Source organism: Homo sapiens, chromosome 11, assembly GCF_000001405.40.
Source record: "Homo sapiens chromosome 11, GRCh38.p14 Primary Assembly".
Taxonomy (NCBI): Eukaryota; Metazoa; Chordata; class Mammalia; order Primates; family Hominidae; genus Homo; species Homo sapiens.
The window spans coordinates 44,869,544-44,887,074 of record NC_000011.10 but is presented as its reverse complement, the minus strand read 5'-3'; the positions used below and the strand labels follow the sequence as shown (position 1 = coordinate 44,887,074).

Here is a 17,531-nt window from a genome sequence, read left to right as displayed (position 1 = left end):
CTTTTTCACTCTGGTACTTTGTCCAAGTCCTCCCCAGTTGGTTAGGACAGCAAGAGTAAATTCTTCCAACAACTCCATAATGAAGATGAGTCAGCTGGAGTTCTGGCTCCAGCCTCTTGCTCTACACACAGAGACACGTGCAAACAAACCCACACAGACAATATATACCCAGGCACACAGACAAGCTGTGGATGCAGATCACACACACACACTTATGTGCACATATTGATATGGCCACTGATCACTTTCCTGCGTGAATGAACTAACTATAGTGTCATGAAAAAGACATTCAAAGTCATTTGGCCAATGCCTCTGTGAATATCAAGACTGTTTCTCAACAGCCAAACTGACCTTATTCTTACAGATCTTTAGGAAGGAAGGCAACCCCCACAACCTTATTCCCACGTCTCCTCCTTAAGTGGGGAAGTCCTTCCTGGCATCTAACCCAGATTCCTTCCTCCTTTACATGAATCACAAAACATCTCTTTGCATTGATTCTCTGCTTCACAGCCCCGAAAGCCCTCCGTGTTTATGTTCTTGCTTGATCCCCACAACCGTCCAGCAAAGCCAGCACAGCAGAGATGATTCTATTTCCCCAGGAGTGGTGCCCAGAGAAGTTAAGCAGTTTGCCTGAGATGACACAGCCGTGTTGGAGCCGTGCTTGCTTGGGATGAACTAAGTGGCGCGCATTTGATTTTACTGCTGATTTCACAGCTCCTTCAGCTACCCCAAGCTGCCATCAATGTCCCATCAATTTCACTTTGTCTGCTCCTCTCTGCAATGAGCTTTCTCAGCTCTCAGCCTGTGTTCAGTAAAGAGACGTTGCTGGTCTTGTGTCACGTCTCCTCCTGCCTGAATAATGCTCGTGTGCAGCATGAAGGAGAGGTCTCTCAGAACTCAAGGGCCTGAAGCTCCCAGAAGCTTCCAGATCCAGAGGCAACAGGTGTCTTCCGGTCCCAGGGAGGGCAAGTTTCCTGAACCTCGAAGGCAGGCAGACAGTGGAGGCCTCCCTTCCTTCTCACAGCATCCTCCAGCTCCAAGGCAGGCTTCCCCCAACCCCCAGGGCCCAGGAACTGTCATCAGAGCAGAAATCAAGCCCAGTCCCAGGCCTCACCCCACAGGGCATCTGCCCCATTGATATTTGCTTGGTAATAAATACTGGAGACAGAGGGTCTTCTCAGGGCAACTGCAATTGATTCTAGTCACCTGGCCCGAATTAGGGGCGGCCACAACCCCTTCCCATAAGAGGAATGACTACAGGTACTCAGAGCTCAAATTATGGAGGGTGAACAACCGGAAGACAGAGAGACCGTGACAGAAGCACCCTGCGTGGCTGAGAAAAGCCTGCGAGGAAATGAATCAAAGAGAGAACCTGGGGCTTGGGCCTCAGTAGATGGACAGGAGGGAGTCAGAGAGTCCTGTTTTCTTTCCTCCCCATAAAAAACATCCCAGCTGCTCCTTGGAGTCATAAAGAAAGATGTGCTTCAGGGGTTGGGGGAGGGAGAGGGCTGGGCTTGGAAAGAGACAGGCAGGGGGCTGAAACAAAGGGAAGCTGAGAAATGCCTCATCCTTCCACAGAGGACCGGTCACCAGCTCCACCAACCCGTCAGGCTCTCCAGGCCCGGAAGGACGCTGGCAATCCCACCAGGAAGCCCAGGGATAAGCAAGGAGTCACCCTTTCAGAGCACCAGGACAATATTTCTACTTTTCTTTGGGGGAAAAAAAAATAATAGTAACAATCATCATTATCTTCTCCAGGTCTTAGTTCCTCCATCTGTGGAATGGGGACAGAAATCCCCACCTGGCTCACCTCATGGGAGCTGGGCAGGATGGAAGGTAATAAATACCGGAGAAGGGCTTAGGGAAGGGACATCGATGTGATGGGGACAAGAGAGGATGTGCCAAACACTGGTCTAGAGCGGTGTTGGTAACTTTTTCCATAAGGGGCCATATAATACCTATTTTAGGATTTGGCGCCATATTGTATCCATCACAGCTACCCAGATCTCCTTTGGGTTGAGAAAACAGCCATAGAGAGCACGTGGACAACTGGGCATGACTCTGGGACAACCCCACTTTAGTTACAAATTAACACTGGGCAGGATCTGGCCCACAGGTTATAGTTTGTGGAACCCTGACTTTAAGAACTATTGAGGGAGTGACTTTGGGCTAATGCAGAGGACTCTCAGTGAATGTTTTTCCCTCTGTTGTGTGGGGACAGAGAATGGAGAGAGAACAGAACTGCCTATCCAGAAAGCTGGGTTCAAGCCCCATGTGGCTGTGCAGCTTCTGGCAAGTCTCTGCACCTCTCTGAGCCTCAGCAGCCTCATCTGGAGCATAGGAATAAAGATGGCACCCACCTCCCAGTGTCATCATGAGGGTCAAATGAGGCCCTCATGGGTCACAGGCAATGCCCTTAGCAATGAGAAACACTGGGCAAGTGGTGGCTGACTTAAACCTCTGCAGGGAGAGCTCTGGCCGTGACTCCTGGGAGCCGGTGAGGTTTAGCCAAAGCCCCGAGTGGGGAATGTGAGGGGCTGAACCGCACAGGGGGGATCTTTCCAACAGAAGAGGCTAAAGGAACTGGAGGAAGTCGAGCTGATCGCCCATCGAGGCCAGGGGCCTGACGCTGCTGCCCTGTTTGAAAACAGCAAGCCCCTCTACCCCCACCCCTGTACCACATGGGAACAGAGCTTTGCTGCATAAGGGTTGCCAGAGGACCAGGCAATGAAGGCACATGGAACGGTTGTGCTGAGATCTGTTTGGGCAGCTTCGGTCCGCCTGCCTGCTGTGGACCTTGGCCCCGTCTCTGGGGCCATAATGGATGACAAATGACCCATCCAGAGCATATGATAAGCCAAAGGTGTGCACTTTGATTAGCCTGCTGTGCCTGGGAAGGTCTCTTCCCTGCTCTGCTGAGGCCCAATAGCAATTAGAAGGGGCAGGGAGGCTGGAGGCAGTGTGGGCAGACCTGGGGCAGAGAGGAGGCTGGGCCCCTGGCACAGATGAGCCAGTCGTCTCCTGTGCATCCCTGGGGAAGAGACGGTATGGCAGTAATGGTGATGATGGCAATAAGAGTTAATACAGAGTGCTTGCTAAGTGCCAGAAACGGTTGTAAATACCTTGCATCTGTTAACTCATTTAATTTTCACAACAACCTACAAAGTAGGTACAATTATTATGCCTATTTTACAAATGAGGAACCAAGGCACAGAGATGTGAAGTCACTGGTCCTGAGTCACACAGTGATTAAGCTGGCATCCGAACCTAGGCAGTCTCTCCAGCATCCGGGCTCAGAGGTGTCCAAGTCCCAAAGCTGGTAGGGCAAAGCGTGGAGCAGAATCAGAAACCCCAGTAGAAAGAGCGTTGTAGTGGGAGTCAGAGGACCCAGGGTCTGGCCCTTGCTCTGCCACTAACCAGACTCTGATGTTGAGCAAGTTACTTGCCTGCCTTGGGCTTCTCTGGGAACACATCATGCAGAGTGGCTGAGGGACCCAGAGTGGCCTGGGTGGAGTTGTCTCTGCCACTTACTACCTGTGTGGCCTTGGCCTTTCTGAGCCTCAGCACACCCTGTAACCTCACAGGTCATTGTGAATGTTGAGTGAGACCACACCGCATGAAACACGGAAAAGAAGCACGCGCTGTTATGACTCATTTGGAAGCCACACCTTTTGCTATCTACCGAGGGCCACTGTGCCATGGTTTCACGGTTCCCAGTGCCAATGTTGCAGAAACATCTAGGTGCCACTAGCTCCATTTCTGGGAGGAAAGGATTCAGGTATTGTCCTTTTGGAAATGGAAATGGTGGTCTGAATATTTGATGAGCCAGCCTCGTCATTTAAAAATGTACATATAGCCCAATCCGTGGCTTGCAGAGCTAAGAAACGTCACTAAAATGGAAGGATCCAGGTTTTAATGAAACAGAACTCTTGGGAGCAGAGGGAAGGTGGGTCTCATCCTGTAAAAGCACTAGATTTCAGGGGCTGTTGTTCCTGCCTCATGGTGCCCAGTGCCTGAGCTTGGCAGGGGAGGTCGCAGGTACAGTCGGGCACACTCATGCTGCCCTGCTAAACACAGACAGCAATGGTGCCTCCACCCAGGAAAGTGCCCTCTGTGTGTCTGAAGTAGGGGTGCTGAAAGCAGGACTCCGACGGGGCTTCAAGCCAGGCTCAAATCAGGCAAACTGGTACCTTTTCTGCAGTTCTTGAGGATGTAAGAACAAAAGGCAGCGCCCTTGGGTCTGGGGGTCTGGGGGTCTGGGTTTAAGTTCAGGCTTCACGGCCAGCCAGCTAGCTTGGTGTCTCGGCCACACCCCACTCTCTGGCCTTGAGTCCCATGTGCCAGGCTGTCCCTCCGTCTCTCTCCATCTCAGAGTCTTGTCTCTCTGTCTCTGCTCTCTCTTCCCTCTTGGAACACACACATACATGCACGCACATGCTCTCTCTCTGTGTGTGTGTGTGTGTGTGTGTGTGTGTGTGTGTGTGTGTCTCTCTCTCTGACCATTTCCTGGTGAGGTGGAACGCTACCTGCTAACATCAGCGGCAACACATCCTCTTAAAGCACACCGCACCCGGGAGCCTGGGCATAAATCCCCTAGCCCTGCCCTGGGACTATGACCCCCAGAGGGAGGTGGCTGCCTTTAATTTAGAGGCTCTGCATGTGTGAACCACTGTACAAAGCCCTGCTTGCCCGAGGTAGCCTCAGGACTGTGGAGACCCGCTGGGAGCAGGGGCCTCAGGGAGCCTCCTCAATGGGAAAAGGAAGAACGGGTAGGTGTTTCATTTCCCCCCAGCTGCCCCTTAATTAAGGAAGAGGAAGTTCCAAGGGGCAGGGACAGGGTTTCCCAGGGACCACATGGATGCTGCGCTTCTAGGGGAATGGGAGGCGGCTTTAGGATGAGGCTGTCCAGGGTCTGATCTGACCCTATCCCTGGGTGCTGTGTGACCTTGGGCAAGTCACTTCACATCTGAGCCCTGGTTTGGTGACTCCAGGACCACCAGGGACCCTAACCACTTGGACAGAGCTGGGTCAGAGAGAGCCTAAGAAGATGGGCCACACTGTGGGAGTTGGGAAGATGATTCTGAATTTAGCCGGAAGTCATTCTTTCACCAGTGACCCCTTCCAAGGTATAATTCCAACAGCAAATGTTATTAGAGAAGAGATTCTATGGGAAACAGGTCCTTTATAGAAGGCATCATATCAGGTTTGCCAAGGTAAATGTTCTGAGAAGAGACAAACCTAAAGTAGAACCTGGATCCTATTTCCTGGGTGCCTGCAACTGGAGACAATGAGGACAGGGTCAAGAACGGTTGGCCCTGGTCTGAATTCACCAACCACCTCCTACCTGTGTGCCCTTGGGCAGGCAGTGCCTCCCCTGCCAGTTGGAAAGGATAAAGCAGGTGGAGCGTGTCTGAACAGTGCCTGGCATACAGCGGGCACTTGCATTGCTGGGCTACAGGTGGCGGAGATGTATTTTCCCATACAGTTCATTGCAGCCTTCCAACAACCTTTTGAGGGACTGATATCCTCAGTTCACAAATAGAAAACTAGGATGAAGACCCTTTTTAGGTCATGTTTCCCTCGGAAATAGGGATGTTGGAGTTCTTTGCTCAACTTCTTGAGTGATGCTCAAAGAAATCCTTCCTTCCCATGACCTGTTCTCGTCATGATATTACAGCTGCCCAGCTGCTCCTGGAGGGAACTGGTGTTCAGGGGCGGCGGCTGAGGTTCGAGGGGTCTGGGGTCTGGGAAGGAGCTCCTCCATCAGCTGTGGAACTGGCTCACCAGGACAGGACTGGCTGGGGACCTAGTTCCAGGAAAACAACCAATAACAAGAGGAGTTTGCACTTCTACAGATCTGCGAGTGCCAGACATGGTTATCCATTCCTGTAGCCCTGGGTGGTCATGCTATTATTGCCCCCATTTCTCAGCAGTGAAGACTGAGGCTCAGAGAGGTTAAGTTACTTGTTCAAGGTCACACACTAGAAAGTGGCAGAGCTGAGATTTGAACACAGGCAGTCAGGCTGCAGAGTCTGGGCTTATAACAACTGCCCAACATTACTGTTCTCCCAGGCAGGACAGCAGGAGTCCCACGCCTGCTACAGGAGGACGGACAGCCAGTCCCTCCAGCCTGCAGGCCAGGCCCTTTGCCCAGCAGCCCTCTGGAGCCACAAGGTGTCATGTTGCCCACCCCTGCAGTCTGCTGTCCTGCCCAGCATTGAGCGGTGCTGCCCTGGCAGGTGGGCTCTCACGGAGGAATCAGTCACTTTCCCATCATACACAATGTCAGGGCTGGAGGCGGCTCAGAGGTCCTTGAGTCCAACCACTTCATTATACAGAGGTCCTTGAGTCCAACCACTTCATGCACAGATGATCGCTCTGAGGACCTGGCCCTGGCCACATAACATGTTCTGAAGGTCTTTGGCAATATTACACGGTGGCTTGGTCTTAAGATTCATCTCTCAGTGGCCTACTTCTCAGCTGAGCTGTGATCAGGTGGTGTGGTTCAGAGGGGACTATCAGACCAGGCCTCCGTACCCAAGGGCTCACACTGGGTGAATATGCCCCATGTGCCAGGAGACCTTCTGTGTGCTTCACCCGCACTCTCATTTACTGCTAATAACATCACTATCATCCTCATTTTACAGATGAGGAGAGGGAGTCCCAGGGAGGTGACACCCCTTCACCAGGGTTATGCAGCTTGGGAGAGGCTAACAGAGCACGAGGGTCTCTCTATCCACAAGCACAGAACTGGCACAGCTTCCAGCCCTGCGTATGGGACCTGGCACCAAGGCTGCCTGGCTGTCCCAGTCTCCAGCATTCCTGCCGTACATCTTGGAGTTCATTGGCGGGGCTACAGCTTGGAAAACCTCACTCAGCGGCCATCCTGGCGCTCTTCTGGCACAGGCACTGTCATGGGTGCCTTTTGGGTTGGTCTTTGACTGTGCAGTTTGTCCAAGATGTGGTAATGGAGGCCCAGGATGGATGACAGGCCAGGATTCCAGAAAGGCAGGCTACTCCTTCCTCCACCGTCCAGCCTCCCCCCAGCGTCGCCTCCTTGGTGCGGTGAGGCTCAGCTGTCTGGGCTGAAACAGCTACTGTCCAGTTGGAGGAGAGAGAGCTGGGAGAGGAGCCATCTCTTGCCTACAGTGGAGGTCCCTGCATGGCAGCTGGCACTCATCCCTTGACCAAAGACAACTTGCCTTGAGTTTCCAGAGGACAACGGGACACGCTTCTTCGTCCGCTTTGCCATCTGGCCTCCAGACACTTATCCTGGGAGGCCACAGACATCCAGCTCTGGCTGAAGGAGTCCTCTACCCCCATGCTGTCATTTACTTACCCCTGCCACAAACTCACAACAGCTTACAAGGCCCTCAGTGACCTGGCCCTGCCTTGTTGGGCTTACCTCCGACCACCCTCCTCACCCTGTTCCAGCCAGCTCCAGCTGCTCTGGCCTTTTCCACCATGGCAAGCACATTCCCGCCTCAGGACCTTGGCACCTGCCGATCCTACTGCCTGGGACTCTCTTCCCCCAGATATTCCACATGGCTCATTTATTCGACTTATTCAGGTCTCTGCTCGAAGACAGAGACCTTCCCTAAGCCCCTCTCACACAAAACCCCACGCGCTCCATCACTGTCTGTCCCCTCTTTGTGGACAGGATCTCCAGCAATGTTTTCTTTCTGTTATTCATCTTCTCTCCCCTTCTCTTGAATGTAAGAGGGCAGGGGATTTCGTTCATGGCTGAATCACAGCACCCAGTATACTGAGTGCTCAATGGATGTTTAGGGAAAGAAGAAGGAGGAAGGAAGGGAGGGAGAGAGGGAGGGAGGGATAAATCTCCGTGTGGGCTTCTTTCACACATTTCTGATTTAACCCTTGCTAAAACTCTGCTGAAACGTGCAGCACCAGCTACATCATTTCTGGGGAGCAACTATATCATTTGCGGGGCTCAGTAAAAACAAGGGGGTCCCTTGTTCAAAAGTTATTAAGAATTTCAAGATGGCAAGGGCAGAGCATCGAACCAACTGTGGGGCCCTTTGAAGTTCAGGGCTCTGTGGGATTACGCAGGTCGCGTGGCTGTGAAGCCAGCCCTGGGGAGGTGCTATTAGCATTTCCATCGTGCTGCTGAGGGATGGGAGGCTCAGAGAGGTATAGGGGTTGCCCAACATCACACACAATGGGGAAGCTCTCCCTTCTCAGTTCCCGCAGAGGCAATGGAAGACAACATGTTACCACCACATTTTTGGAGATTGGGAGACCCAGCCCAGACACAAGAGTGGGAGAGCACATTTGACTATAAATCTCCTGTTTTATTTCACATATTCATGCAATTATTTTGCATTTTACTCCAAAATATACCACATATTTTAAAAATATGATGTTTAAATAAAAAAGTAGGTGTGATCTTCCAAATCTTCAAGAATTAATGTTCTATTAGGATGCACAGGGTGAACCCTGAGACTTTGTATACCCTCTGGTTCAGGAAGAAGTACCCCAGGGCCCCGTGGGTACCCACCACTCAGTTTAAAAAGCACCATCCTATGCAACATTTCCTGGCACAGGCTCAACAGCCCATACTGCATAATAAATGTTAGTTTCACTCCCTTATTCTTTCCTTTCCTCCTGCTTGTTCCAAAGGAAACCTCCCCCGGGCTGGCCCCAGACCCAGAGAGCAGGGAGCCTTCCTCAGGCCGGGATGGAGACGCTGGATCTCATTATCTCTACAGCGTCCAGAGGGGAGCCCAGCGTGGCTTGTTCCCTCCTGGGGCGGCGCCCCTCAGCCTGTTAGCGGGAAGAGGAGAGCGTTCTTACACGCCCGGCCAGCCAGGTCCGCTGCCGCTCTAATTGGAACACGTAATGGTTTGTTAACACAGTCTAATCTGGGGAGGCCTGGGAAGGAGTCCCCTGGGGTGTCTGGGGTGGAGCTGGGGGAAGGGGCATTTAATGGTATTGTCAGTGGGGCCGGAAGCATGGCTGAAATGCTGTTTGGTTTTTGGTGTTTGTTTTGCCAGATGACGTCTTAATTCAGGATGGAAAGATGCAGTCTATTGTGCTTCTGTGTGTGCGTGTGTCTGTGTGTGTGCACGTGCACACACACAGGAGATATGGTGGTGAGTGGGTATGTGCAACTATGTGCCTGTCCACAGTACAGGGTATTAGGCCAGGAGCAGTGGGGAGAGGGAGAGAAGAGAGCCAAGCTCTATTACACCTAAAGGTAGAAAGCCGTGGTCTCCTCTTAAGAATGCAAACAAAGACATCTATTTTCCCACGACTAGCTTACCCAGCCCCTATTCACACTAATTAGGAGGCCTGGGAATTTCTCCTAACTTCGTAATTACCGTTAACAGGCTTCACAGGGGCTGTGGGCGAAGTGGAACAACCCATCCTATTTTCGTAGCCAAGATGATGGTGGCTCAGGTGGTCACCATAACCTGGCTGTTTCTCCCCGTCCCCTCCCTTTCTGGCTTTCTGAGGCCCCAGATGCTTGGACACCCGGGGAGATGATCTAACAGAGGAGCAGAGGCGGGGGGTCCTCATGGGCTGCTTTCACTCCTTTATTTAGTTGAGCGGGTCCTGGCTGAGGCTTCTAGAAAACGTTCTCTGTGTTGGGGATGGGAGAACGGGGCCAGGAGCCCAAGGAATGGACCCTGAGATCCCTGCAGCCTGCACCTCTCCCCTCGAATGACCATGGACAGACCACTCCAGGTCACTCTTCCTGGGCCATACACTGCCCCTGCCCAACCCCACCCAATGTCCATTAGATGAACCACATTTTAAAGGCAGCGCTGGAGAACTGGCAAGATCACAGTAGTGACTTCACAATGTCATCGGGCTCCCGCCCCAGCCTGCCATACCCTGCAGACGTCGTAGGAAACCACAGTGAAGCCATTATGGGGACCCCTCGACTGTTTGGCAGCGGGATGGCCACTTTTGTCAGCTGACAGGCCCAGGGACTTCCAGAAGCGGCAGTGCATGGCCCTTCCCACAGGCTGCATTTGTGCACACAAAGATCCTCCCTCTGGGCCTCCTTTCCTCAGAGGCGGAGAAGTCCCTCCATCCTGGCGTCCGCTGCAGGCTCTGCAGGGGCCTGGGGGAGGAGGCACCAATGCTCCTGGTGGGCTCTTCCCAGTCCCAGCTCCGTGAAACCCTGTCTGTCTGTCTGGGACTTGTGGCCTGGCTCTGCTTCCAGAAGACAATTCTTTATTCTTTGCTGCCTGCCCAGAAGCTGAGAGTCTCCATATATCAGGGAGCTTACAAGCCACTTTCCCAATCATGTTAAAAAAAGCTGAAGCAGTACCAAAGAGTAGCTGACTGTTGGTGATTTTTATCTTATTCTTCATACTCAAATGATTTCTATTTTTTACAACAAGGAACATGTATTATTTATGTAATTAAAACAAATCATTGTAAAAGAGCCACCCACCACTTAAACCCCATACTCTGATGTTACCGTGTCTTTGATGGTGCTACAACCTGGGCCTGCAATACCTTTTCTTCCTTGGTCAGCCTGGAAAACTCCTTCTCACACTCCAAGGCCCAGCTTGATGTCTCCTCAGCCATGAAGCCTTCCCTGATTTCTCCAGCCTAAGCAGTGGTCCCTTCTGTTTACTTCCAATGCCTTTACTTTGGAGATAAGAAAACAAAGACCAGAGAGGGACAGGGATCTCCTCAGGCCACACAGCAAGGTCACATGTGGCGAAGGTCACTAAAACTCAGAGGAGTGCCTTCTACAGTGTCCAGGCTGGGGACGCTGGCACACACCCTATTTGACACATAACACCCGCCTCCCTGGAGTCAGCCCCTGTCCTCTCAGAGACAGCATTGACCCACCTTTGTTCATCTGGGGAATGAGCCAGGGTGATCTTCTCCCAGTCCCCGGGGCACAGGTCACTGAGGTATGGGATAAGGAACAGAAAACAGAAGAACTTTTGTTCCACAAAAGGGGACTGGGGACAGGAAGCACAGGGGTCCTTCCTCTCCGGAGCTCCAGGCTGTGTCTGAGTGGTACCCCCAGCCCCATGCAGGCCAGGCTAGCTCTTGCCTGGGCCTTTTCCTGACCAGTTGGTTGGAGGCCTGGCTCCCACAGGGCCCACCACCTGGGGTCTGAATCTCAGCTTTGCCACTGAATAGCTCTGTGACTCCAGCCAGGTTGTTTCACATACCTGAGGCCTATTTTACCAGAAACACTAAGATTTTATAATATCACCTACCATTCATTAAGTACTACTATGGCACCAGGGCACGGATGAGGCGTTTTATATAAATCCTAGCTCATCTTCCTAAGCACACTTTAGAAAGCTATTATCACTCCCATTTTACAGGCAAAAAACTGAGGCTCACAGGAAATGAAGCCACTTCTCTGAGGCCAAGAGCTAGAAATGACTGAGCTGGGACTTGAGTCTGGATCAATGTGGGGACAATAAGCTCGACTCCCAAGGTAGTTACAAGGATTTGATGAGATAATTTTGCACAGGGCAAGTGCTCTGCACATAATTACGTGCTGAATGCTGTAACATCTTCTCAATTCCATTTCGTAATGAGAGCAAGCACTGTGAATTGGGTTGTGCAACCAGCTAGGATGAGGGAAGGTCGGTAGGTAAGATTTCCTGGTGACCTGGAGGGAGGTGGTAAATCCCTCGGCAGCCCCTAGCCTCCGAAGCCCCAAGGCCCAGACTTGCTCCCAGCCAGAGAGTATTGTTTGAGGATAAATATTATTTTATGCTCTAGCTTAATCCAAACCAAGCTTATCTTTCCCACCGAAATGCCCACAACCCAGAGAAAGCTAAGCCCTCTGCTGCTTGCCTAATTGCAGGCTTAGAGGTCTGGTTGGGGACACCAGCTCTCTGGAAAAGCCTGGTAAATGGTCTGGTATTTGGCAGTGGCATCAGAGAAGCTGGCTGTGAGTTGGGCTGTCTGGTGTTCTAGGCCCACATGGGCTGGGAGGGCCCCACGGGGGAGAATGTACCTCTGCAAGGGGCTGGTCCAAGGCCTCTCACTCTTGCATGGAGCTGCTGCTCCAGCCCTGGGGAAGATGTAACTACGGGGGAGCAGGGGAAGTGGGTCTTGCCCCCTCTGCCCCCAATTTAATGCTGATTCTCACTTGGTTGGAAAAGCAAAATGGGTCTGTGGGCTGCGGGACCCCTCCTTCTCTCCAGTTATGTCTGTTTCCGTCCCTCCTCTTCCAGTGGAATTCTCTGAAAAAGGGTTGCTAAAGGGAGGAGCGTGGTCTCAGCAGGCTCCATGCTGTTGAGGGCTGGAAGATCCTCAAATGGATCAGGAGCCAGCCTGGGTGGAACCCAGCCCCAGCCTCTCCTCACAGCTTCCCCACTGGGAACTGCCAGGCCCGGCCAGCCATAGACCTGAGGGACAAAGATGTCCCCCTACCCAGGCACCAAGCATGCAATTAGTTCTCCGGCTGGTTCCCATCTCACCATTTTCCTCTTTCTCCCTGGGGTGTTTTTAGAAGGATACCAGGGAAGAGAGGTGATTAGTGCCAGGCTTTGCAATCAAGATAGACTCGGGCATGAATCCTTGCTCTGTGACTTGGGACAGCTGAGTTGCCTTCTCTGTGCCTCAGTTTGCTTGTCTGTAAAATGGGATTGCTATAGTACTATCTCACAGTGTTAGAGGGAGGGCTAAATGACATCGAGTGCCTGGCACAGGGAGTGATCATTCTGGCTCTTCCAAGGGTAGAAGAGGGAGGTTTTGCCCAGAGGCAAAGGCACAAAGACCATTGACTATTATGGGGCCAGATGGGCCCTCCACTTGAGACCCACCCTTTTCCCCATGCCCAGGTCACCTGGCTGCCATCTCTGAATCAGGCGGAAGAGGTGGAGGTGAAACTAACATTGGTTACTGTATGTCCCATACCGTGCTAGGCCCATCTCCTTTTTACAGATGAGGAAATTGAAGCTCAGTGGTGTGAAGGAGTTTGCCCAGGAGTGCACGGCTCCATGGTGGAGCAGGAATGTGTCCTCATGCTTTTATACAGGGGTCTTTCCCACCCCACTCAACTCCTGAAGCCCCCTAAGAAACAGATGTAGGGCCATTCCCAGGCTGCGGGTGCTGGGTCCAAGGTGGGGACAGGTGAAGCCACCCAGCTGGCCTGGAGAGGCAGAGCTGGAACAAACCTAGCTATGCCAGCCTGGGAGGGCCCAGATCATATAAGCCCCCTGAGGGGCCAATCCTCATGTCTGTAGGTCCAGGAATGCCAGCTCCCTTCACAGATAACAGCTCCCTCTGGGCTCTGCCCCATGCTCTGCTCAGAGGGCTCTGAGGACCAGTGCCTCTGTATCCAGGTAACAGGCACATCCTAAGTCCTCTTCAAGTCACATGCCTACAAGTCAGGACAGCACTCCCCACAGACCTCCTCGAGGTGGCTCATTTTCAGCTTCCCAGAAGGAAATAAACCCTAAGGAGTGCAGACCCCTCAGCTTCCCCAGGCCTTGGAGGGACTGGGCTTTCAGCCACATCTCCTTAGAATTTCCTCCTTAGACTTAAGCCCTGTAAAATGCATCACTGGGTACAGTCCCTTCCATGCTGCTTTCTTTGTCCCCAGTCAAGGGGTTTGTCTGCTATGAGTTTGCATATTGTTCTTTCTGCAGCCACAAGAATAGGGCCACAGAACCCTGGAGCTGCCATGCAATCTCTGGGGTTGTCACAGAATCCCCAGGGTCCAAAATGTCTGCAACTTCCTAAAGCTGCTGTGGCATTCCTGGGATTATCCAGAATCTCTGGGCTGTCATGGTGTGCCCAGACCACATAGGTCCCTTGAGTGCTGGAAAAAAATCTGGGCCACCATGAAATTCCCTGAACTAACATGGAACCCCCAGGTTGCCACGAAGTGCTGGGCCACCCCAGGGTCTCTAGGCTATGCAGGGCCCCTGTGCTGCCAAGGGACCACTGGAATATCTTAGAATGGAAATTTTTGGCTGAGTCCTCCAACAACCCACAACCACATACTGTCACCTCCAGCCCCTTATCCAAGCATTTCGACCATCTTCTTCCTGACTTCAGCTGAAACATTCCTACCTCCAGGAAGCCCTCCCTGGTGTCTCTCCAGGCCTGGCTAGGTGCCACAGCCCTAGGTATCCTGGGCTCCATGACAGTTCCCTGGGTCTGCCCTGTCGGAACACTCAGCATGCAGTCCTGCCACTGCCTGGTCATGGATCTATCTCCTCTGAAGCACAGGCACCCTGTGCCCAGGCTGGGCAGGTGGCACTTAATAAATATTACTTAATATTAACTATAATATTATTTAACTGTGTGCTATTAACTTACTAGGCACTTGATGGCTGTGTGACCTTGGGCAAGTTGCTTCACCTCTCTGTGCCTCAGTTCCCTTTTGTATAATAAGGATACTAAGAGTATAGATCTCATAAGGCTGCTGTGAAGCTTCAATAACTTATGTAAAGCATTAAAGCAGAGTCTGGCATATAGTAAGCACAATATAGATACCTGCTATCATTAAATAACATGTGAACTGTATTCATTAGGCTTTCACAGGGTCTAGACTTGCAGCAAGGATGGAAAGGGGATTCTCCCATAATGCTCAGTGCTCTGTTGATAGCGTACACTAGCACAGCACTTAGCATGTGCCGGGCACTGCACTTGATGTTTTACATGCATTCACTCAGTGAATCCTCGTGGCAACCCTATGAGGTTGGTGCATGCTATGGACTGAATTATGCTTCCATACACCCAAATTCATATGTTGATGCCCTAACCCCCAACGTGACTTCATTGGAGATAGGACCTTTAGGGAGGCAACTGAAGTTCAGTCAGATCATAAGAATGGGGTCTTAATCTGATAGGATTGGTATCTTTATAAGAAGAGGAAGAGGCTGGGCACAGTGGCTCATGCCTGTAATCCTAGCACTTTGGGAGGTCGAGGCAGGTGGATCACCTGAGGTCAGGAGTTCGAGACCAGCCTGGACAACATGGCGAAACCCTGTCTCTACTAAAAATACAAAAAAAAATTAGCCAGGCGTGGTGGTGGTGGGTGCCTGTAATCCCAGCTACTCGGGAGTCTGAGGCAGGAGAACTGCTTGAACCCAGGAGGCAGAGGTTGCAGTGAGCCGAGATTGTGTCACTGCACTCCAGCCTGGGTGACACAGCGAGACTCTGTCTCAAAAAAAAAGAGGAAGAGAAACTACAGAGCTCCCTCTCTTGCTTTGTCTCTGTGCATGGAGAAAAGATTGCATGAGGGCATAGTGAGTGGCTTTTAACCACTACTCTGAACCTGCCTCCAAGTCCAAGGGTATGGGCTGGGCATCCCTGAGGCAGGTGTGCAGGCATGAGCAGCATCTATAGCAAGCAATACACATTGGGAAGAATGGATGAAGGAACAGGGCACATTTTGGCCAAGACTTTCAAGCTGCTTCTGGGACCCGCCTGCCAGGCCCAGCATCCTGAAGGCTGGTGGTATGAAGAGGGACTGACTATGTTCTGCTGGTCGTGGCAGAATCAGAACTGCTCCACCATGGAACAGGTTCCCAGGTAAGGTGGTAAGCTCCCTGTCTTTGGAGGTAATCAAGCACTGCTGCTGGACCATCACTTACTGGTGATGTGTGGGGAAGAATAAATAGTACTGTGGACTGAATGTTTGTGTCCCCCCAAATTCATATATTGAAACCCTCATCCCCAATGTGATGGTATTTGGAGGTGTGAGGTAATTAGGTCATGAGGATGGAGCCCTCATGAATAAGATTAGTGCCCTTATAAGAAAAGACAGGAGAGCTTGCTTCCTCTTTCTCTGCCACATGAAGATACAAGGCGAAGATGGCCTTCACCAGGAACCCTACCATGCTAGCACTCTGATCTTAGACTTCCAGCCTCTAGCATCTTGAGAAATAAATATTTGTTGTTTAATCCACCTAGTCTATGGTATTTTGTTATAATAGCCCAAACTGCAAATGACAGACAGCAAGAGTAAATACTCTAGACAGTTCCCTCCAGTCTCAAGCAGTTGTGAAATATTTAAGAGCTGGCAGTTAAGAGTCCCTGGAAACTCTTCCCTACAAGCTCTGCCCATTAATTCCTGCTTATCTTTCAAGTCCCAACTCAGACATCACCTCCTCTAGGAAGTCCTCCTTGCTTCCTTCCTCCTCTCCAGTCTCTATGCCACTCCACTCTCAGGTTGGTGATCTGTGTGAGTCTAGTCAGCAAAACTAGAAACGATGAGTAGAAGTCATTAACATAAGACAGAGTGAACCCCAATACAAAGATGAGTAGTCCCCCAGCAGAATGGAGTGTAGTGACATCTTTAACAGCTGAAATGTGGTGCAGGTGTTAAACAATGTGTTTGAAATAAAAAAGACGTGGGGTTTAAATCCAGCCATCCTCTGTGTGACTGTGGGTAAGTGCCTCAACCTTTCTGAGCTACAATTTCCTGAGCTGTAAAATGATTCCATCTCAAAGGATGAAACCAAAGATCAAATGACACCAGCAGGCCTGGCACTCTATGTGATCAGGATCTGAGAATTTCCTGTAGTCTCTGGCAAGTAGTGAGCTGCTGACTAGGTGTATTCAAGCAGATGTCAGAGGGGTCTCAGTGTGGAGATTGGTACCGAGGATTTCTTTCTTGCACTGAAGTAAAAATTGCACTCAGGGGCCTCGATGAGCTCTTCCAACTCTTAAAAAGAAACCACACTTCTGCCTTGGCCTTAGCTGGCTGTGGGGAGACAGGCATATCATTGAGCAGACACTGCTCCACCCACCTCCACACATGATGTATGAGTACATTTACATGAAATGTCCAGAAAAGGCAAATCTATAGATACACAGAGTAGACTGGTGGTGGCCCGGGGCTGGGGTGGGAACAGGGACTGATGGCAAATGTATGCCACATTTCTTTGGGGGATGATGGAAATATTCTAAAATTAGATTGTAGTGATGGCTGCAAAACTTTGTAAATTTACTACAGACTATTGAATAATATCCTTAAAACAGGCAAATGTTAGGGTGTGTAAATTATACCTCTATAAAACTGTTTAAAAAATAAAATAGGAACAAGGGCAAAACAGGATTGCAGAAAGGTATGGTAGGGGGCAAGGCCCATGCCCTTGGGGGAAGTGTGGCACTGCGGGCTGAGGCCTGAGGTCACAAGGTCAGAAGTCACTGCCAGTTTCAGGGACCACCTCTCCACCTGAGCTGTTATACTGGTGCTTTCTCGTTATTTCCTGTGGGAGTCGAGGCAATGCTGCCTGCCCACCCACCCCAACCTCATTAAAACCCTGATACAAAGCCTGATAATGTGAGGAGGGTGGGCCTGGGAGGGGACTGTGTGAGGGACGGAGGCCTCCAGAGAGACTGAGCCTCCTAGAAGCCTTTGAACACTGGGCCCGTGTGACAGCTCAGGGCATCCTGTGGTCTGCGGCCTCTGAGTTAGGATAAAGTCATGGACGGGGCCTGGCCGTGTCTCTAAGGCACTGTGGTTCCATCAAAGGGAGGTGGGGGCAGCACCAATCACATCCTGGCATCAGCTACGTGCCAGGGAGAAGCTGACATTTATCCTGCTGATACTATTG

The 17,531-nt window shown here is 51.3% G+C and overlaps 1 protein-coding gene across 8 annotated transcripts in view, besides 2 other annotated features; it reads right to left on the bottom strand.

Annotated features, from left to right (window-relative positions):
• Positions 1-17,531, bottom strand: part of TSPAN18 (tetraspanin 18) — a 206,114-nt gene that overhangs the window by 45,349 nt on the left and 143,234 nt on the right. The window contains exons 4-5 of one of the 8 annotated variants that reach the window (XM_047427846.1): positions 10,834-10,893; positions 10,492-10,626 (exon numbers count right to left, since the gene is read on the bottom strand). The exons of 6 other annotated variants lie outside the window; for them this stretch is intronic. The gene's annotated coding sequence lies outside the window, so the exon portion shown is untranslated. The remainder of the gene's footprint in view (positions 1-10,491; positions 10,627-10,833; positions 10,894-17,531) is intronic. One more of the 8 variants, XM_047427849.1, reaches the window with a different exon arrangement.
• Positions 509-1,009: an enhancer, noted in NCBI's record as "H3K4me1 hESC enhancer chr11:44907617-44908117 (GRCh37/hg19 assembly coordinates)". NCBI's record gives its function as "activates a minimal SCP1, AML or CMV promoter by ChIP-STARR-seq in naive H9 embryonic stem cells {active_cell/tissue: H9 hESC(naive)}" and the evidence as "EXISTENCE:reporter gene assay evidence [ECO:0000049][PMID:30033119]".
• Positions 1,010-1,510: an enhancer, noted in NCBI's record as "H3K4me1 hESC enhancer chr11:44907116-44907616 (GRCh37/hg19 assembly coordinates)". NCBI's record gives its function as "activates a minimal SCP1, AML or CMV promoter by ChIP-STARR-seq in naive H9 embryonic stem cells {active_cell/tissue: H9 hESC(naive)}" and the evidence as "EXISTENCE:reporter gene assay evidence [ECO:0000049][PMID:30033119]".